General features: G+C 41.0%; 1 protein-coding gene and 1 non-coding gene across 69 annotated transcripts in view, besides 6 other annotated features; one reads left to right on the top strand and one right to left on the bottom strand.

Annotated features, from left to right (window-relative positions):
* Nucleotides 1-2,567, bottom strand: part of ASPH (aspartate beta-hydroxylase) — a 214,037-nt gene extending 211,470 nt beyond the window's left edge. For all 68 annotated transcript variants that reach the window (NM_001413901.1, NM_001413909.1, NM_001413895.1 and 65 more), the window contains exon 1: nucleotides 2,244-2,567. In NM_001413901.1, coding sequence (NP_001400830.1) covers nucleotides 2,244-2,346 — 103 coding nt within the window. In that variant the 5' untranslated portion in view covers nucleotides 2,347-2,567. The remainder of the gene's footprint in view (nucleotides 1-2,243) is intronic.
* Nucleotides 1,937-2,366: a silencer, noted in NCBI's record as "silent region_19235". NCBI's record gives its function as "represses an Ori minimal core promoter by ATAC-STARR-seq in GM12878 lymphoblastoid cells {active_cell/tissue: GM12878}" and the evidence as "EXISTENCE:reporter gene assay evidence [ECO:0000049][PMID:35858748]".
* Nucleotides 2,407-2,776: a silencer, noted in NCBI's record as "silent region_19236". NCBI's record gives its function as "represses an Ori minimal core promoter by ATAC-STARR-seq in GM12878 lymphoblastoid cells {active_cell/tissue: GM12878}" and the evidence as "EXISTENCE:reporter gene assay evidence [ECO:0000049][PMID:35858748]".
* On the top strand, nucleotides 2,763-2,834 carry MIR4470 (microRNA 4470). The gene has a single exon (NR_039680.1). It is a non-coding gene; the product is annotated as a microRNA 4470 (primary transcript).
* Nucleotides 9,197-9,793: an enhancer, noted in NCBI's record as "amplified fragment containing most of the chr8:62634023-62634407 (GRCh37) CAGE region". NCBI's record gives its function as "mid-level expression transcribed enhancer in HepG2 cells {active_cell/tissue: HepG2}" and the evidence as "EXISTENCE:reporter gene assay evidence [ECO:0000049][PMID:24670763]".
* Nucleotides 9,197-10,786: a biological region, named in NCBI's record as "P300/CBP strongly-dependent group 1 enhancer GRCh37_chr8:62634171-62635370".
* Nucleotides 9,439-9,823: a CAGE cluster, noted in NCBI's record as "CAGE cluster; bidirectional CAGE region". NCBI's record gives the evidence for it as "EXISTENCE:cap analysis of gene expression evidence [ECO:0000309][PMID:24670763]".
* Nucleotides 9,587-10,786: an enhancer, noted in NCBI's record as "P300/CBP strongly-dependent group 1 enhancer chr8:62634171-62635370 (GRCh37/hg19 assembly coordinates)". NCBI's record gives its function as "activates an origin of replication core promoter dependent on BRD2, BRD4, P300/CBP, MED14 and CDK7 cofactors, with strong dependence on P300/CBP, by STARR-seq in HCT116 cells {active_cell/tissue: HCT116}" and the evidence as "EXISTENCE:reporter gene assay evidence [ECO:0000049][PMID:35650434]".

The raw sequence follows: 22,424 nt of genomic DNA on the forward strand, positions 1-22,424 counted from the left end.
AATGAATAACAAAACCTGGGTTCTTAGTCTCGGTTCTTCCAGTAATTAGTTGAGTTTCCATGAACTAAACAACCTTCAATGAACTCGGCAACTTCTCTGGGCATTAATTTCCTCATCTGTATGATTTGAGCAGGAAACTAAATGGGTCTCACAGTATGACACTGCTAAAAAGTCTTTGATTTTCCCAGTAGAAGGAAATGGTTCGCACAACGTCCGTACTTTAATGACCAGGTAAACAGCATTAAAAGAAAAGCCGGCTTTATCTTTCGAGTACAGCCTACTATACACGACACTGTACTTTAACTGTTTAGGGTGATGGAAGGAAATGGTTTCCATACCCAGTGCCTTCTATCTGGCACACAGTAAGAACTCAGTATCTACTGGAGAAAAAAAAGAAAAGGTTGCGGATATGCGGATAAAGAATACTCATTACGTCACATGCAGGGTTCCAATATCAACTTTTGTTTTCGTATCACGGGCATTCCTCCCTTTTACATATTCTTTTACATACTATGTCTGTTTCATGACTATTAGAGAATCAACGTGTAAAATGCTTAAAAGGCTGTAGATCCTCAAATATGGGCAGAGTTTGTTCTAAAATGCCTGACTATGAAAGTCAGGAGAAGTTAATTTAAGTTACTGCATTTTCTAAACCTATCTCTTGCCTGTTAAAATGCTTCAAATAGTTATGGGGTAGGTCTAGAAACGTGAGACACATTTCCCAGTATTAGTTCTCACCAATAAGAGGCCATATAAAGTGACTTCCCTCAGATGCAATCAGCCCTCTCCTCATAAACACAAAAATGAAATGGAACGAAGACATGCTTCTCTGGCAAATAGCTACAGAAACCTTTTGAAAACAACTAACATTAAAGTTGTTCATCAGCTTTCTCTGCTTAGTGCCCTTAGAGGCACAATGAGAAGAACCCATTCTCATTTAGGGATGTTAAAAAAGAGTAGCCTCAGTCGGCTGAGGCAATTAATCTATCCCTCTGCAGGTTTAAGTAAGTGACATTTAAGAACAAGTGAAAAAGGAACACAAACTTTCACTTATGTCAAAGGTGAATTAATATGCTTGCATTGAACTTCAAACTGTGTCTACATCTTTACTTTTAGAATACAAATATTAGTCCTTAGAATGTAAATTTGTGCAATGGATTTAATGCACTACTTTCCCCATTTAAATCCATTCATTCATTCACTACTCAAATATTTATTGAGCACCTATTATGGGAAAGGAACATTCTAGGAGCTGGGGATACAGAGAGAATGAGCCAAAGACAACACACATGAAAGTAATAAGACAAGTTCAGATAGTGACAAGTGCTATAAAGAAAATACTTCTTTGACTATAGCTGATTCATTTTCTTGGTATATTATGAATGCATGATCTGAAGATCTCAGAAAACAAAGAGTCTAAATCACTTCAAGTGAAGTTTACAGCTCACATTCCATACACATGTGTATTGCAGTTTCAATATCCCAAATATGAGTCAAAGGAAGTATAAAAGAAACCAAGAATCACTGAAATATGAGACGAAACAGATTTAAAAATCTGTTCTCTCTGCTGGATATGCACACGGACGAGGAGAAAGGTGAATATCCAATCGATTTTTATTTTAAGTAAAAGTGGTAAAAATACAGACGCTCGTTCAGTATTTCATGACATTCTATTTTAAAGGCAACTGCAACGCATATTAAGAAAGCTACATACAAGCAAAAATATTTAAAATAATTTCTGAGAGCATTCAAATCACTCCCAACTTCTTCCCTCCCCCTGCCCCCCGGCGCCCCCATTTTCACCTCCTTTGAGTTGCTCTGAAACGCTGCTGGTTAGGCAGGAACTCACTTTCCCTGACTTTGGCTCATTTTCAACTCCCCAAAACACGCAAGGCAAACGATAAATTGTTCTCTTACTCCCATGTTCAATTCCACGGAAAGCCAAGAAACAGTCGTTCAGCAACCTCTGTCTCGGCTGCGCCCTGCAGGTGAAGGAACCGCTGGGAAGGGGCTCCCCGAGACTAGCATCCCGAGGGCTCGGACCCCGGTCCGCCTGGCCCCTCGCCCGCCCGCCAGGCCCGCCGAATGCGGCCTCCGCCCCGCGCGCCTAAAGGAGGAGCGTCGCGGGGGATGGAGGCGGCGCGCGGTGGGACCTGGGGAGATGCACCCGCAGCGTCCGCCGCGCCAGCCGGCTCCCTACCCCGAGGCGAGGCCCCAGATCCCCGCCCCGCAGGGCCTCTGACCTCTCCGGGCCCCGGGGCTGCTGCTGCCCGCACTCGTGCTACCGCTGCCGGAGCCGCTGCTGCTGCTGTTGCCGCTGCTCTTGGCATTCTTACGCTGGGCCATTGCACGGTCCGCGGGGGCTGGTGAGGGCTGGCGGACCTCCTTCAGTGCGCGGGGGTACACACGCGACGCGGGAACCGCTGGCGGCGGCGGGCCGCTGGAGCGGGTTCGGGCCGCTGCTCCTGCAGCAGACCCTGTGCCTCAGCACCGCCTGCAGCACCTGGGAAGACTTCACCCGCCTGCCGGCTGCGCGCGCCCGGCCTCGCGTGTACGAACCTGTGACTCCCTCCCGGGGCGAGAGCGCGCGGCTCGCCGCCCGACGGCCACGCCCCTTCCCGGCCTCGCCCCGCCCCCGGAAGGCTGAGTGACGGCGCCTGGGACCCAATCGCAAGGGCCCTTACGAGGCGGCGGTACCCTGCCGCGCTCCCCGCCCCTGCTCACTTAGGGCTGTTCGGGCGCTACGCAGCTGCCTGTGAGCGCGAGCCTCTTTCGGCTTTCCAGTTTGTCTCGGTCCTTTGGAACGTGGCAAACGTGGAAGCCGAGAGGGCTCTCGCGAGCGTTGGCAGACCCCGCTCCATAGGGATGGGACAGGGCGCGGTGCGGAATAGGTGGACACGTGGGCCGCCCGTGGGCGGAGTGCGCCGCTTCTAGGCCTTTCACTGTGGATTTTGTCCCCTTTCCGTATACAAGGAAAGGAAGGAGTGCAGTCTCGCTTCTTGCGAAAGAGATCCCTATTTCTTGTCCTGATTAATACTAAGACATTTCTGGAATGGTGATATTAGGACTAGTTCAATGCTTAAACCGTAGTAGTTCATCCATTTGGTGCTGAAGCAGGAATTTAGTTCGTTTGTGCCATCAGTATTTTCAGATACTCTTAGTTAAGGAATGAAAATGCAAATGTGACACAAAAAGTTCATTTTCTTACCCTGGATGGCACCCTCTGTCTGAAATCCCTGGCTGCTTTGCTAACGCCTGGGCCTGTGCTGCCTGAGAATTCCCAACAGAGTATTAAAATGTCTTGGCACGTGGTTGAACCAGACAAGGACTTGAGATCAGCGACGTCTTTATCATCTTTGTGTCACCATTGCTAACACCATGCCCAATGTGTAACAGGCAAGCAAGAAATGCTTAGTGATTTGATACATTTCTGTCAATTGCTGAACCCACAGCTCTTGATCATGTTTCGTAGCAACCCCTGGGAGTGTCTCAGGAGGGCTCAGGGACCAGAGAGAGCAGTTGCATTGTGGCATCTGGTTTCATTCCTCTTTTCCAGCCCCACAAACCCACCCACCCGCGCCTTCAGAAGCACTCCCGCCTCCCCCCGGCCCCATGCCTTTTCACCTGTGGATGGTTGGATGCTGCTTGACCCTGCCCTGATGATGCACAGAAACCCCCCAAAGGTCATGTTGCAGAATAAAGAGAATGCCTTTCTTTACCTTTTGTCAAATAGTGTTAGGCTATTATCAAGAGACGGTGGGAGGGGAGAGTTCACAGAGTTTTTATTGAAGTAGCTCTCTCAGCTTTTATCTTGTGGCATCTCCTTCTGCATCCATATATCCTTTCTCCCATTCAGGGCCCCCTTACAACCCTCTATTATATTATCTCAATGAAGGAGGTGGAGAACTGGATTAAGAAATAAATCTGAGTGATGGTGCTTCATATAAAATAAAAATGAGAGCTAAATTTCAAAACACAATGCTCTAGCCACCCCCCACCCCCCACACCAAAGATATTTTTACCCTTAAATTCTCACAAAACCCTGTAGTCATATCAATTTTTTAAAGAAATTAGATACTGGAAGCTCAGAGAGATAAAACAAAGTAGGGTCACTGTATTAGTCCGTTTTCACACTGCAGATAAAGACATATCCCAGACTGGAAAGAAAAAGGGGTTTAATTGGAGTTACAGTTCCACATGGCTGGGGAGGCCTCAGAATCATGGCAGGAGGTGAAAGGCACTTCTTACATGGAGGTGGCAAGAGAAAATGAGGAAGAAGTAAAAGCAGAAACCCCCAATAAACCCATTAGGTTTCATGAGAATTAATTCACTATCACGAGAATAGCACAGGAAAGACCGGCCCCCATGATTCAATTACCTCCCTCTGGGTTCTTCCCAAAACACATGGGAATTCTGAGAGATACAATTTGATGTTGAGATTTGAATGGGATCACAGCCAAACTATATCATTCTGCCCCAGTCCCTCCAAATTTCATGCCCTCACATTTCAGAACCAATCATGTTTTCCCAACAGTCCCCCAAAGCCTTAACTCATTTCAGCATTAACCCAAAAGTCCACAGTCCAAAGTCTCATCTGAGACAAGGCAAGTCCCTTCTACCTAAGAGCCTGTAAAATCAAAAGTAAGCTAGTTACTTCTTAGATACAATGAGGGTACAGGTATTGGGTAAATACAGCCATTTCAAATGGGAGAAATTGGCCAAAACAGCGGGGTTACAGGGCCCATGCAAGTCTGAATTCGAGTGGGGCAGTCAAATTTTAAAGCTCCAGAATTATCTCCTTTGACTCCAGGTCTCATATCCAGGTCACTCTGATGCAAGAGGTGGGTTCCCATGGTTTTGGGCAGCTGCATCCCTGTGGCTTTGCAGGGTACAGCCTCCCTCCCAGCTGCTTTCACGGGCTGATATTGAGTGTCTGCGGCTTTTCCAGGTGCACAGTGCAAGCTGTCAGTGGATCTACCATTCTGGGGTCTAGAGGATGGTAGCAGTCTTCTCACAGCTCCACTAGGCAGTGACCCAGTATGGACTCTGTGTGGGGGCTCTGACCCCACATTTCCCTTCTGCACTGCCCTAGCAGAGGTTCTCCATGAGGGCCCTGTCCCTGCAGCAAACTTTTGCCTGGGCATCCAGGCGTTTCCATACATCTTCTGAAATCTAGGCGGAGGTTCCCAAACCTCAATTCTTGACTTCTGTGCACCTATAGGCTCAACACCACGTGGAAGTTGCCAAGGCTTGGAGCTTCCACCTTCTGAAGCCACAGTCTGAGCTGTACGTTGGAGCCTTTCAGCCACAGCTGGAGTGGCTGGGACAGTCACAAAGCTAGTAAGTGATAGAGGAGGGATGTGAACTTGGTTGGACTGGCTCCAGAGTCTATACTCCAAATTATTCCTCCTGGATAAGACATAGTTTTGAGTGGAGAAAGTCTCACCTGGCTCCCTTTTCGGTTAATGGATGTCTCCAGGAAGCCTCCTTGGTCCTACCTTCAAAGATAGGTCTGAAACCCAGTGGTAAGTGCTTATCAAAGCCTATCTTTTTAAGGAAATCAAATTTGTTTTATAGCTAACTCCAAAATGCCATTAAGTGATGCTTTGCTCCTGCATTTCCAGAAACTAAATCTGGTACCCCTGACAAGGTACATTGCTGTGTATCTTGGGCAATATCAGGCCAAAATAGAGGTTTTAGTAAATATGAATCACAGAAAGAAAGAGGCTACCTAGCGCTTTCTTGTATCCTGAGGAAACAACTATGATAACATTTATGTGCTCAGTATTATCGAATAAAACTTAAATCAGATGCCATCAGTTCTAGACACAGTTTCATTTCAGGGACTGAATTCCCTCAAGCTAAGTAACAGAACTATACATTTTATATCTGTCTGTACTTCCCATATTATGGGCATCAAAAAACGCAAAGCTTACTTAGGATTCATATATTTCTTTACAAAGGACATTTTCTCAGCATGGTTGTGAAAAAGACAAAGTATCTTAGTATCTTTTAAATTAAAGGAGAAGTCAAATGTCCCTTGTTAGCTTTTCCTCTTTTCTGTAATTTTCAAGCAAACTATGGGTGAAATAATGTTAAAAGGACCATAAAGACAAGACTTATCTAGGACAATTTATTAAAATACTAATTTAATAGAGCTTTTGAACTAGGTCAAATGTGTCTTTCAGGTATTTCCATAAACCTTCCACTGCCTTCAGTGGGATTTGCAAGTGAGAACTGGAGGACACGATTTGCCCTACTTCTTTTTTTTCCATTCTGATGACCCTTTACAACCTCCAGTCAAATTCCTTCCAAATTAATATTTCTGGACTTACTTATACCTACTATAGCATCGTTTTAAAAATTCCACTTTAACCTGCTTCCTAGAAAATGCCTCTCATTTTTATGCAATCTTCCTACTGTGAAGTTTTATTATTGCAAACTGGAACTGAGTATTTCCTCATCTTTATTTGCCATAGTAAGACCATAGTGGAAAACAATAAATTTCAACTGGTCATGATTCATTTATATGTTTTTCATATTATATTAGTGAAATTTGTTGCAACGAAAGGATATTGGTAAGTATAGGAGGATTTTGAAGGCATTCCCTACTCAGTGTTTTCAAAGCAATTATCCTCATATGAGTCATATCTCAACACGTAAATGAACTGTCATTTTCACCAAACAGCTTGACTTCAGATTATCTAGAAAAAATAAGCCTGACTAATATCTACATCATAAATAAATAGAATAAATTTATATGAGCAGAAGTGATTTTAAATCCAGTCTAAAATGGATTTGAGTTAGTACTATTGTGTTACGATATGGTAAAATGATCTGAAGTCACATTAGTTAAGAAACCTATCATTTCCTTTTTCCTTTCAATTCTTTAAATTTCCTATCAAGATTGGTACTTCTTAGAGCCAAAGTTCCTTTCTATCAAATAACATCTAAGTAAGTGCTATTGCCAGTTCTTGAGTTTTCTAGCACAGGGAAATGATGGAATTAACTGACTCTTCTTAAGTCTCAAACTTAATGCCAGAAAGAAACTTAAACATGGAGAAAAAGCCAAACATTAGAGAATAACAAGAAATTACAGTCATGGCAATTCCATAGTATATAAAGGACATATTAATGTGATTTAGGAGTAGTTAGAAAGTAAGAGGAAAAAAGGAAAAAATGTGGAGAAATCTCAATAATTCAATTGTTTGCAAGATAATAATTTTACTTAAACTGTATTTGCTTCAAGGATCGTGTGAGAGAGAGAGAGTGTGTGTGTGTGTGTGTGTGTATGTGTGTGTGTCTAAGTAAAGTAATTATTTCTTTGTCTTTCATGAAAATAACCAGCCTCTTCCATTGGATACAAGTCCCTTATCTAAAGAAAAGTATCCTGAAACTAGCTTCTAGAATCCTCCAATGTCATCAAATCTAAATATATAAATCAGAAGGATTTGCCTTAAAATAAATAGTGTTATTACAATATGCAAAACTGGATCAATTAGTCAACCTAAATTCTTGACAGTTGACGGGAAATCACACATACACTACATAAAATTAGTACTGACACAGTCCTTTTTGCACTGTCATCATTCTGACTTGACTCTATTCTGCAATTTCATAACCACATGACAAATATTACCAGCTCATGCCAAAAAAAAAAAATCCTGAGAGACTTTGCCAAAGAGCTTGCAAGCATAAAAAATAGAGAGGATCTCCGTGTATCATTGCAACAATATTTTATTAACCTAAAGACCACTACTAATATATTTGAAATTCTACAGTATTTCTTTACTTTAAGAAGTACAATATCCATTACTTTAAAAAATTATTTCACGACATATTGTGGCAAATAAACAAGTGGTCCAGAATATTTTGTCATTCTTGGTGAAACTGCTATAATACTGACTTCATCAAATAACAAAGTCATTTCTCTTTTGGCAAATCCGTTTGAGTTAGAGACATGCACCAATATCCTAGATGTTTACTAAAGCTACTTCTCCTAGCCCCAGAAAGCATATTGATCAAGTAAAATTTAGTGGAAGTTGTTTCTAAGCAGCTGTCTCACAAATTATACAAAATTCTGTTTTTTCTACTTTTTAAGCTACACGTATTGCACTTCGTTTTTCTGACTGCAATACAAAAGAAGAATTGAGTAATGCAGCTACCAAAAGGTATGCATATAAAAGCAATTGTCTAAAAACCTAAGTATAGAAGGTTTGGCTGATTAGACGTATCCCAAGAGATTGATTTTTTAATATTCTCTTTTCCAAATTTGAGAAAATAGAAATAAAATATGAACACCTCAATATAGCACTTGGGCTTATGTGAAAATAAACTAAGTTACAAATAATATTAAGGAAACTATGTTCAGGCTACAGACCATAAGAACTGTTGACATTCTCAATTCCATATCCCTGGTGAGCAGGACAGTGTCTAGAGTGGAGTAATTATGTAAACATTTTCACCTCGGACTCTTTGAGTTTGTTATTCCTCAGCCCAGGGTGTGCTTTCTCGCAGAGGGCCACCAGACTCTTTACTCGTCACCCTCTTAGTTTAGCCCTTCAGCCCTGCAGTGCCTCTCCAGCTGCAGAAGTTTTGGTGAGAACTGTATGTGTTGGTATGAAATGGTTAGCCATTAAAACACTGGGCAGCTGCAGGTGAGAGCTTATGTTTGACAGTAACAAGGAAGAAGACATATAAAGTCAATGTCTTGTTAACAGAAGGGTAACAAGTAGTACTTTTTTACAAGTAGTACTCGACCGAAAAGGATTATTTTCTTAAAAATAGGTAGAGATAGCCCATTTATCATTTATCCCATCATACAAATGCAGGCAGCCGTGAATAGCTGAAGTAAGAAATCAAAAAGCAAGCATAGGAAGAAAATGAACATTGTATGGATCTGTGCAGTAATCACTTAGGGAATATGGTAGCTTGACGTAGATAAAGAACTACATTTAAGGAATACCTACTTAAAATGTGAAACCTAACCAATGTTAAACAGATAGGCTGCCAACTCTCTGCAATTATGATAGCTTCACAAAATCGATGTGACTTCAAATCAGAACAGCATAAGACAGAGAAGATCATCTATGAATGACATAAAACTAGGAGGGGAGACAGCAGAAAAAAAAAGATGTGTTCCATTAGCTAAGTTTGACTGGGTCTTTTTGTTGTTTTCTATTTCCAAGTTAGGAGAGGTTGGATCTAATGCCAGAATTATGGTCAATCTTATTTGTAGTTGGTTGGACATGTGTGCATGAACAATAAGAACTTGGTAAATTTCACATAAGTTGTTGTACACTGTCAGTTTATATTTCATCTAATCCTTAAAAAAAGGAAGTTAAGTCTTGAGTTAAAAGGATCATTTCAAGTATTAAAGATCTCCAAGTGGACTCATTAGGCTCAAATTCAGGTCTGCTCAAATTCAAGGTTAGACTCAAATTAGACTCAAATTCAAGGTTCTGCTTACTGAGAAAGAGCAGACATTAAAAACAGCAAATCTCACTGAATGATGCTTATTCAAGTCTAATTCCTGCTTGCGCATGCAGGCTGACTCATAACACAGGCGGTCATAGGGGAGGAGCGGTCATCACTAAGCACTACTATGTGCTCCTCATGCCTCATCAACCTTTGCCGCCAAGCACCAAGGAAAGGTGTGTGGGATGCCTCTGCCCCCTGCCCCTTCTGCTCTTTTCTAATGGCTTTTCTCCTTCAAACTGCCTTTGATGGAAACCTCATTTGACACATGTTGGGCACAAAGAAAAGGAGAGAATTCAGAGTCACCTGTAGGTCTCTTACCCTCTGGCCATTTTTCTCTGACCTGTCATCAATGAAGGCCTGGGAGATACTGTGGACTCAGAATTAAAACATTTTCCTTGGTTGAGGCTAAAAGGTGGGTTAAAAGTCCTGTAATTCTTGAGAAGAATCCCCACCAATCAACAGAAAATCCTCCTTCCTCCTGTCCCCACTCTCAGGACTCCCAGGGAAAATGCAAGTTGTTGGGGTAGAAAGATGGCATGTTCAGCATGACTGGCAAAAATTTGGCCTGCCTCTGGCTCTGATCCTGCAGAATAACAATTCTGTAATAAGTAAGGCACCAAGCCAGAGATATTGGCCAAAGGAATTTACAACTGGGAGTAGGGGGTGGGGTGACATTACCAATAGGCAACAGTCCAAGGCCTGCAAAGGACGCTGTACTGACAGAATTCCATCTCTCTCTGACCCACTGTTTTCTGCAAGGCAAGCACAGCAACCATTTCAGAAGCCCTCACTCCAGACTGGGCATACCTCTTTTCAGTTATTCTAGCAGGAGTGGAGAAGAGGTTCTTGCAGTTGCTACCATCTGCAGGTAGTAATCAGAATTTAAGATAGTTAAGGAGAGAATTGCTATATGGCAGTTGTACCTGACAGCAATAACATAACTTAAGCATACCTTGAGAATAACCCTATGATCTAAAAAGAATGTGTGTTCAGAGTTCCAAACTAAGGAATCTGGGAGTGGCCAACCTGAAAATTCATTTCTTATCTATGAGCAAAATCTAAACCTCTAGCCCATTCTGTGGAAGGCAGGCTGTAGAGGGGATGGAGGCCCTTTGTTTTGGGTTAAATGAAGGTTGCCAAGTAGAGGTTGCTAGGGGGAGGGTACTAAGTGAAAATGCTATATAAACTACTTGCTTTTTTATAAGCAGTTGTTGTTCTCCTGCCCAGGGCACTGCCAGTGGACCCCTTGTATTAAGTCCTCTTAATAAACCCTATGTCTTGTTTGCCGGCTCCAGTTCCCTTCTTCGGCCTTTGAACCTGGTGCCTTCCCTACTGAAGTTAATAGGGGGCCAGCATGACAACCTCATGTTACTCCTTCTGTTCCCCTCCCAGCCTTACAGGGCCTACCACATTGTCAGCTGGTCCTTGGGCCAGTGGTGGGTAATGTAACGATCCTTTGTGATACCTTCTCTGCAATATTCCCTGCACCGAAAAGATTACCAGTCTCCAAAGCCGTGATTCTGTGGTTGCTCTGAACACTCTCCAACTGTTTTCTGAATGGCCAAAAGCTGGAACAATAACCAAAAGATGGAAGTGCCATTTCCCCAACTTATGAGGTAATAGTCTCATGGCAGTGACTGATAGCTGGCTTCCCCGCACTGTCCCTGACTCTTCCTAGGCTTTCTTCCACATATTCTTACTTCCTTATTGCCAACTCATCCCCCTCAGAAGTCCAAATGTAATTAGAACTGTCAAGAAGGATTCCAGAGTTCCTCGCTTTATCCTGTGCATCTTCGGGGCCACTGCCACTGTCAATACGTTCCTTCTAAAGGGACAGGGGGCAGAGCTACAGGGACATGGCACTTTCACTCCAACTCAACCTCTGTCACCCCGATGAGCTCTCCCCATGCTCGGGAATCTTGGGGTCCAAGGCCTCTCTCTTCTCCATCTCCTTGTTCCAGTTTATAAATTAGATTTGCTCCCAATTTCTTAATTCATGAAGTTTCCTCTGCCTAACCATTTTCAAGGAAACTGAATATTTGTGTTTATCTGTAATCGTGTAGCATTACCAGCTCTATTCAAATTTTAGTGCACAACAAATTTTCTGCTTGTAAAAATGACTCATTTTCTCTATATTTTACTTCTGAGATGGTATAATTAAAGCAGTGCTAATTGATCCAATTAAATGCTGTGTCCCCAGTATAAACTAGGCAGGCATGTGCAAGACTCTTTCATATTCTATGTTACACATTGTTATAACTATTCCCTGATTGGGGTTAGAAAGTCTTGGCTTCTGAATATCAGAAAGAGAGAGAGAGAGAGAGAAATAGCATTTAACTAACAGTGCCAGAAATCTGATTCTGCCTCTAACTAGCTGTACTGTGGAACCCCAAGAAACTCACTTGGCTTCTACTGTATCACTTGTCTCATATGCTAATAGTGGCTTGTCATCACGGATTCCTATGTCTTTAATAATCTAATGAAAGCTATGGACCATCATGAGAAATATTATCATAGCCATAAAGTTTCCTAGACAATTTTAGAGAATCATGTGCCCAAGGTTAAGAATATCCACACTAGAAGATAAGGTTTATTCTCCCCCCTCACGTTCCATGATATTAAGCCTTGGTAACTGCTATTGGAAATGGTCTTTTGCATTTTCTTAGTCTATTCATAAGGCTAGTGGCTGAGGGTGGCAAATGAGTTGTCTTGTATCCAAGGACACTTTGAATGCTATCAACTACAGTGTGAAGAGAATGCTCAAGATCTCTACATAAAATATAAATGTGGTTATAACAATGATTCTATTACTGATGCGGTGGATTTACTCAGTCTGACTGCCTTTCACACAATATGAAACTTTCCTGGAGACTGCACTGTGATAATTAATAAGAAAAGTTCCTTGGAAACTATAACGTGCTTTACAAAATGTAACCAATTGTTTACTTCTTAATTTTATGACCTAAATTAATACTATAAAGACATTAAATTTTTCTATAGCAATATCACTACATACTTAATTTTAACCAAGTTCAATAACTATCCTGCTAGATCTAGGGGAAAACAATCAGCTAGAGTCACGAGAAGTTTTTGAAGAAACATAAAAATTTAACAGTATGCCTTCTCTGATATTTCCTTCTCCTTTACTGTAAACTTCCCTTCTTTCCTTAAACATTTCTTGACCCTTGACATATCAGACAGTACCCTGTGAACTATAGCAGCATTCCCCAACCTTTTTGGCACCAGGGACCAGTTTTGTGGAATGGGGTGGGTGTGCGAGGGGATTGTTTCAGGATGAAACTGTTCCACCTCAGATCATCAGGCATTAAATTCTCATAAGGAACACGCAACCTAGATCCCTCTCATGTGCAGTTAACAATAGGGTTTGTGCTCCTGTGAGAATCTAATGCCTGTGCTGATCTGACAGGAGATGGCGCTCAGGCGGTAATGCTAGTTCGCTCACAGCTTACCTCCTGCTGTGCAGCCAGTCCCTAACAGATCACAGACCAGTACCTGTCTGCAGCCCCAGGAGTTGGGGACCCCAGAGCTATAGTACAGGGCAGGTACCATGTAATTCCATGGTACATGAGTTAGGCTATATAATTGCTGTCAAAAAGATCTAACACTGAAAATTTCATCTAGTTCAACCTGTGAATGTACTGTATAGTCCCTTCTACAAACATTGCTTGAGTGTTAGCTTCCTGCCAGGTACTATAACAAATGCATGTGAACTTTGTTTTCAAGTGTTTGTGTTGTTTTGAAAGGAGACTAGCATGCAAACTAATGATCTCAATACACAGTGCTACCTTCTGCCTCTGCCTGCAAAGGTGGCATAGACGAGGGAGCAAGGACTACAGGAGGAGTAAGCCACAGTGGCTCCATGAATACCATATAAAAGTCCTAGGATTCCAGTGTTGTAAATGAGTCTTCAAGACCATGTTGTTAAACATTTTCATTTTACAAATGAAAAAATTGAATCCCAAAGAGCGACAGTGACTTACAAAAGGTTGCAAAGTCAGTTAACACAGAACTAGAACTCAAGTCACCTTACAGTGTGCATTTTCTGCAACGGAGATATTACCCCATTAAGGTAAAAATTGGTTCTCGTGGGAAAAATATTAAAGTTTACAATGGCCACCACCTATCTCAGTCTGTTTATTCTGCTATAACAAAATGCCACAAACTGGGTAATTTATAAATAATAGTGATTTATTGCTCACAGTTCCTGAAGCTGGGAATTCCAAGATCAAGGAGCCAGCAGGTTAGGTGTCTAGTGAGGGCTGCTCTCTGCTTCCAAGATGGTGCCTTGTTGCTGCATCCTCCAGAGGGGAAGAACCAAAGACAGTGAACCAATTCTCTCAAGCCCTTTTGTGAGGACCTGAATCCCATCCATGAGGGCTCCACCCATGTAACTCAATTCGTTCTTAAAGGTCCCAATTTTTTTTTTTTTTTTTTTTTTTTTTTTTTTGAGATGGAGTCTCGCTCTGACACCCAGGCTGGAGCGCAGTGGCGTGATCTCAGCTCACTGCAACCTCTGGCTCCTAGTTCAACTGATTCTCCTGCCTCAGCCTCCTAAGTAGCTGGGATTACAGGCGCACTCCACCACACCCAGTTAATTTTTGTATTTTTAGTAGAGACAGGGTTTCACCGTGTTGGCCAGGATGGTATCGATCTCTTGACCTCATGATCCGCCCACCTCGGCCTCCCAAAGTGCTGGGATTACAGGAGTGAGCCACTGTGCCCGGCCACCAAGTCTTAATACTATCATGTTGACAATTCTGTTTCAACATGATTTTTGGAGAGGACAAAAATATTCAAACCATAGCACCTCCAAAGAACCATAGCACATAAACAGATACGTAGTATATCTATAGTATTACATTTTCATGGGATGAAGGACAATTATGAAAAAATAAACATCTAAAAGGCTTCTTGTGGGGATGAGTAGGGCACTAATTTTAGAAAAGCTTGAGAAACTCATAGCCAGGCCACTGTTCCTTCTATAGTGACACTTCCTCTTTACTCCATGGTCCTGAATATTATTTTATTTATTGTTTAGCTTTCTCTTCTCTCCTCTTCATATTTTCTCCTTTTCTTTTTCTATAATCAGTTCTTCCTTCCATTCAACCATTATAGTTTTATGAGGGCTAATTTGTTTTTTTGATTTTTGATTTGTGTAAATGTCAGGGGTACAAGTACAGTCTTGTTATATGGATACATTACGTATTGTTTAAGTCTGAGCCTTTAGAGTATCCATCACTTGAATAATGTACATTGAACCCATTAGGTAATTTCTCAACCCGAAGAACCCTTCCACCTTCCCAAGTTTCCAGTGTCTGTCATTCCACACTGTATGTCCATGTGTATACATTATTTAGCTCCCACTTATAAGTGAGAACATGTGGGATTTGACTTTCTGTTTCTGAGTTGTTCCACTTAAAACAGTGGCCTCCAGTTCCATTCATGTCATTGCAAAAGACATGATTTCATTCTTTTTGATGGCCGAATAGTATTCCATTGTGTATATATGCCACATTTTCTTTATCCAGTCATCCATTGATGAACACTTAGGTTGACTGAATATCTTTGCTATTGTGAGTAGTGCTGTGATAAACATAAGAGTGCAGGTGTCTTTTTGAAATAATGATTTCTCTTCCTTTGTTTAGATACCCCCTGAGTGAGATTGCTGAATTGCATAATAGTTCTATGTTTAGTTCTTTGAGAAATCTCTATACTATTTTCCATAAGGGTTGTAATAATTTACATTTTCACCAACTGTGAGAGTAATAATTTACATCCTCACCAACATCTGTTATTTTCTGACTTTTTAATAATAGCCATTCTGACTGGTATGAGATGATATTACAAGGGCTAATTTGTTTTTAGTGGATTACTTATGTTCAGGCACTATACTTTCTAATATGGGTGACTGTGAAACAGGAAATATAATCTCCCAAGTTTATTTTTTTGTCTAAAAAACGAAATTCTTATTTAAAAATCAAATGCATAAAGGCAGTTTTACTTATATATTTGTTTGTTTGCTTTTTAGACAGAGTCTTGCTCTGTTGCCCAGGCTGGAGTGCAGCAGCGTGATCTCAGCTCACAGCAACCTCCACCCCCTGGGTTCAAGTGATTCTCCTGCCTCAGCCTCCTGAGTAGCTGGGACTACAGGCACATGCTACCACACTCAACTAATTTTTGTATTTTTAGCAGAGATGGAGTTTCTCCATGTTGGCCAGGCTGGTCTCGAGCTCCTGATCTCTGGTGATCTTCCTGCCTCAGCCTCCCAAAGTGCTGGGATTACAGGAGTAAGCCACCATGCCCAGCCTTGCATTTTTTACTTATTACTGAAAAAAACCTTTTTATGATTAGTTATCCATCTATTTATGTACATATGTACAGTTGGAATTCATTCCAAGGGCTTGCAGTTGAGCTCTCGTTCTATTTTATTATCTACATATGTATATAAATAGATGGAAATAGATATTAATGACACCGGGCATGGTGGCTCACACCTGTAATACCAGCACTCTGGGAGGCCAACATGGGAGGATCACTTGAGCCCAGATGTTTGAGACCAGCCTGGGCAACACAGTGAGACGCTGTCTCTACAAAAAATAAACAAAAATTAGCCAAGTGTCATGGTGTGCGCCTGTAGTCTTAGCTACTTAGAAGGCTTAGGTGGAAGAATCACTTGAGCCTAGGAGGTAGAGGCTGCAGTGAACTGAGATTGCACCACTGCACTCCATCTTCAGCAACAGAGCAAGAACCTGTCTCAAATAAATAAATAAATAATAGACATTAATGAGCAATGAGCATTTATTATGTGTCTGGCGCTAGTGCTTGCTTTACATGAGTTTATTGTCACAATCCTCACCTCACCCCTATGAAATAGATGTGATTGTTATCTAAATTTGATGAACAAGTAAACTGAGGCACCAAAAATGTTCAAAGTCACACATCTAATAGTCAAGGCCACGCATCTGATAAATGGCAGCTTCAGGATCTGCACCCTGGCAGTCTGGTGCTAGTGCACAAGCTTTCCCCTTCACATGATCCTGATGATTCTTACCCAAACTTGGAGACTTTGCAGGGGCTTGCACACTTGAGCTCTTGTTTTCCTGAGAGCTAACATAGGGGACTTAGGACCCAGTTCCTGAGGTCAGCTGTAAATGTATTTCCAAGAGCTTGCAAAATTCAGGGAGCTGAAATGGCTGTGGGGAGGGATGATGATGGACCCTGCACAAAGGTGGGATTAAGAATTCTGAAAAGCACAGGAAAATCCATACTGGAAAGATGATGGGATGTAGTCCAGAGGTCAAAGGTCAAGAGCTCTTATGGGAACAGCAATGGGCAAACATGCTTAATGTTGAACTGGCTACTTACAAGTGACACCTTGCAGGGAGGACATGTGCTCTATGTCCTGATGAGAAGAAATGCTAGAATGCTGAAGAACCCTACCTCCAGAGACCAGACCCTGCCCAAGGTCCTACTGGTCTTCATTAAAGGCAGCATGTCAGTTAGGATCCGAGAGAGGCAGATGACAAGACAGAATCAGACATGTAAGAGGTATATTAAGAGAAACACCTGAGAAGGCTGAAAGGGCAGGGAGCAGGAGTAGGGGAGGGAATATTTGGCCTGTGATGCAGCCTGATTCTTGTAAATGGAGAAAGAAAAGGAAAGAGGACTGGATAGGAGGAGCCATAGATGGTTCAGAGGAGCTCACAGAAAACCTCAACTAGGCCAATGGGAAACTCTGGCAAAGTGTGATCGTTAGAGCTCTGTCCTATACTGGGCAGAAATGGCTGAGGTCTGTTACTGCCACCATACTTAGGGTGGGAGCAGTGGCCTTTGGTGTAAATGCCAGGACAAATCTGAAGGCGTGGCAGCCAGGGTCATTGGCCAACTGAGCTTCTCGAGGCAAGCACCCTTCAAAGGCAGTCTGAGGGGTGCACTCCCATGACCACCATAGGCACTTACTCTGGGCTATTTTCAAACACCTCACTAGGTGTCACTAGCCCCACTGAAAGATGGAGAAACATGCTCAGAGAGGGTGAGCAACGTTTCAGAAGTCACACAGATTGTAAATGGAAGATGGGATCTGAACCAAAGTCTGTCTGTTTCTGTTTGAACACATGGCCTCTCTAAGATATTTGTAACCATATTGAGGTGCTTAATAAATCCATGAATTAGGTAAGGGAAGCTTTGAATTACCATAGGGCAGAGAAGAGGCATTTCAGACAGCATAATTTCATCAATAAGCTCAAGCATGGAAAACGAACTAGCAAAAACTTCATATGATCAATTCAGATAGTAGGTCATTGACATTCATGATTTAAAATTAATGGTTTCAACCATTTGTGAGACTCCCTGGTTTGTAACTCAAAATAAATTCAAATTTTATTAATAAATACAGTTGAATATTCCAGGAATAAGCAAGCTGATATTCCTGAAAGGCCTACATAGCCAGAGAGAGAACCTCATAGCTAACTTACGAACCTTGCCTCGACTTAGCTTCCTTATCCTGAGTCATTGTCTCACATTCAGAAATGTTCATAAGGTGAACCAAGCTCTATTTCTTCTTGAAAAGTGGCCAAAAAAGAAGCTGCTAATGCTAATGATGGAAGTGAAATACCTAAAGGAGTCCTTAGCTAAAAATGAAAAGGTTTAGATGAGTTAGAGTATAATGCCAAATTTATCTGTGGACAGAGTCATACCCCAAAGGGGTTTACCATGTGGTCCTTTAAGAAAAAGATATTTGAGACCCCATTTCCAGACAGTGCTCTGACTACCACCAAAATTGCTCACTGAGCAAGGGAGAGATCTTTAAGGGACTAAAAAGGAAGAGGCCAGTTGGCTGCATTTTATGTCAAATCTTGTAGGCTATGGGGATATGTGTGAATTTGAAAGATTCCTAAAGGTCCTATATTTATCTCAAAAAAAACCATTAAAGTCAAGGATCCACTGCATTGTGGTTTCTTGATTTCTCTCCATAGACCTTCTCCCTGCTTAATGTTTTCATTTTAGAAATGGTCCCACCTTTCACGCAAATGCTCAGGCTCAGAAACTCATCCTCTCCTTTGATGCTGTTTTCCTTATAGCACACATTAAATTCTGCAGCAATTTTTTTCAGCTCTAAATGGAAAATTTATCCTACATTACAGTCACCTCTTTTCTTTTCACCTCTATCACAATTACTCTTTCCTAAACTGCCACCATCTCCTAAAAGAGCGTCCTGGATGATCTTCCAGTTTCTGTAATTCCTCTGAGAGACCGTCCTCCCCACAGCATCCACGGTGATTGGCGGGAAGCCTAAGTCAGAATTAGCAAACAGCAAAAAGCCTTCAATCATTTTCTACTTGATTTAGAAGAAGTCCAAAGTCCAATATAATTTCCAGTTAATTGTAAAAACCTATGGAGAAAACAAAATCAAATATTCTTATAAAGCATGAGTAGGAGAGGCTAATATAAAATGGTAGACAAGAAGGTATATCTAAGAAAGTGGTGTTTAAAAGAAAACATCCTGTTCATGGCCTATAAAACCATATGTGACCTAGTCTTTGGATTCCTTTCTGACTTTATGTCCTCCCATGCTCGCTCACTCTGGTGTAGCCACACTGGCTTTTGGGCTTTCTCGAACGTGACAGATATGCTTCTACCACAGGGCTTTTGCATTTGCCTGGGACCCTATTTTTCTACACATCCATAAGGCCTCTCTCCTCTGTTCTTAGAGTCTGGAGGTCATGGACACACAGAGGCCTTTCCTGACACACCTATGACCTTGTCATTCTGTCAATCTCTACTTTCTCAACCTGATTTACTTTTCTCTCTGGTGTTTATCACCATGGCATTATAGTGTATATTTGTATATCTTTCTACTTCAGTATTTATTTATTATCTGTATCTCAGCATGGAAACATATACTCCATTAGAACAGAGAATTTGTTTTGGTCATTGTCATTTCCCCAGCACCTAAAACATACATAGTGCATAGAAGGTAGGTACTCAATAAATATTCATGGAATAAATAAATAATGACTGTCTGGACAAGGTGTGTCCTGTCTAATTAGTTGTTTAGGAGAAGCAGGCACTGGAAAGTGGGTGAAGGGTTTGTGGATTGTTTAGAGGTACCAGTTCCATTTCTTCTCCTGTGGCTACCAGAGGCTTCCCTAGCCCGTGGGGGTACAGGATGTGGCCTGTCACCATTGGATACCCAGAGCACATTGATATACTTCCTGATGGAGTGGTTTATGTAGACAGCTGGGAAGAGGAAGCTATGGGTAGAATTAAGCCATGAAACAAAGCCGGCTTCACAGATAATCACATTCTCTTAAAAAAAACTGAAGATTCAGGATTGCTGAGACTGATGGGTGGCATTTGCATACTTCTATGAATAACTTTTGCTTTGTATTATACAAGCAGACAAATTCTATTATTCCTGAAGATTTCTCTTTTTATTAAAGTTTCAATCACTTTTAAGATGAATGTACCACATTTATATGGCTATTGCTTATTTTGAATAATAAAACATTTTACTCTCAGTTGTACAAAATATTAGCAGTAGCTGAAAACAGCACAGACTTAAATTATGCAAGAGGTAGCAAAGTCACCTTTTCCTGAGATAAAGTTATAATGAACAGTAACATGTTAGAGCCCAGTGAACATACTCTATCTTCATATTTTAAATGTCTATTGCCTACGTGGAATTTGGCAAACAGAGACTACTGACAATTAAAGAAAAATATTAATTCATGTTTTAGAAGGTAATCATTAAGCAAAAATATTTACATCAAATTCAAAGTGAGTTTAAAACAGGGTGACACTTTTTTCATTCATTCAGTAAGAACACATCATTTGTTCTATTTATTTTGTTTATTGAAATGTGATCCAATATTGAAATGTGTTGGTTATTTTTCAGCTAATCTTATTCAATTTTATTAGTTTTTTAAGTTGTTAAGTGGGTTATGCTTTCCATACAGGTAGTAAAAATATCAGTGATTGCCAGGAGCTTGAGAGAAAGGAAAGAACACGTGAAGCACAGGAGAGTTTTAGAATGGTGAAACTATTCTGTATGACAATACAATGGCAGGCCACATGACATGATGCATTTGTCAAAGCCCATGGAATGTACAACACAGGGAGCTCTAAAGTTAATAATGGACTTTAGTTAATAATAATGTATAAATACCAGTTTATAAACTGTAACAAGTGCTTCATGCTAATGCAACATGCTAATAATAGGACATTGTGGGGAGATAGAGAAGTTAGGAAAGGGAGGGTGTACGGAATTCTTTACTTCTGCTTAATTTTTCCTGTAAATCTAAACCTGCTCTCAAAATATAGCCTGTTAATTGTTTTAACTTTTAAAACATGACCCAATTACATAGGGTCTATAAGAAGTTCAGTTCAAATATAACAATATAAGTAGACTCAAAAGAATGGAAAATGGTATTCCATGTAAACATTAGAAATCACAAGAAGTAGATATTAAAAAGAAGTAAAGAAAATTACCTGGGACAGAAAGGGACATAATGATTAAAAGGTTCAGTCCAGTCCTGATTATAGGCATCAGGTAGCTCATGCCGATAATCCCAGTGCTTTGGGAGGCTGGTAGGAACATTGCTTGAGCCCAGGAGTTTGAGATTACAGTGGGCTGGATCACTGCACTTCAGACTGGGAGACAAATGGAGACACCATCTCTCTCTCTCTCTAAATAAAATAAAATAAAATAAAAAATCCATCTATGACCGGGAGGATATAGCAATTGTACTCCTGGGCATTTATCCCAGGGAGATGAAAAAATGATGTAATAATTCTGTATCTCAATTTCAGTGATAGTTACATGATATACATATGATAAAAGTGACACAGACCTACACACACATGCACATATCTTCTAATGTCAACGTCCTGGTTTTGATGTTGTACTGTGTTCACACAAGATGCAACCACTTGGGGAAACTGGATGGAAGGGACATGGGAACTTTTTGTATTACTATCTTTGCAATTTTCTATAAATCTACAATTATTTCAAAAGCAAAAAAAAAATGATGCTGGTTGATAAAGTGATTTTTCACGGCATGGTTAAATGTCATCTGGGTTGATTTTGTCTTTAGCAGCTTCCTGATCCCTGGAGAACTTCCTTAAGGCGGCCTCCTGTAAGCTCTGCCAGCTGTCGCCCTCTGATTTCTGATGAACTGCATTGCAACACTCCTCTGCAGTCTTGCCAGCCGTGGCTCTCTGGCCACCATTAAACATTTTTAAAGCAGCCCTCTACAACTTGTTGCAGGTGCAACTTTCTATCAAAAATATTTCTTTCATTTTGTCTTTTTGAAGTACCTAAGAAATGGGAAATTCTTTTCCTCATTTTCATTTGGCTTGTGTAGTTACACGTCCCAAAGGAGAAACAAAAACGCAAACACTGAGGATAGGCATATAAGGATTCTACTAGTTGGTGATGAGCTGGGAACTGAATAACTGAGTATTCAGGATGGCTGGGACATCAAAGCTGACAGGAATGTTAACAGACGAGAGTGTCTTGATATTCATGGAACAAAGGAGCAGGGCTCCAAACATTCGACTTTGATTTAATTGAGTTGCTTATATAAAAATACTGGCTGCTCACAAGAATCACCCTGGAAGCTTTAAAAAATAGCAATGCTTGTCCTACCACAAACCAGTAAATCAGAATTTCTGATTTAATATATACCAGAGATACATGAATGTATGTATCAGATTTCACACACACCAGTGGTATGGATAGTATGTTAATAAGTGCAAAGGAGGAAAGTTAAGTTTGAAAAGTCAAATAGAAAATTGTATGTGTGTGTTTGGTGGAGAGGCTGCAAATTAAAAATTGAGTGGTTAGAGAAGAACTTCTGTTCCCTGTTTTTTTTCATTTGCTATTTTATGAAATTGTCTCAATACAATACATAATCCTCAGA

This window comes from Homo sapiens, chromosome 8 (genome assembly GCF_000001405.40).
Source record: "Homo sapiens chromosome 8, GRCh38.p14 Primary Assembly".
NCBI lineage: Eukaryota > Metazoa > Chordata > Mammalia > Primates > Hominidae > Homo > Homo sapiens.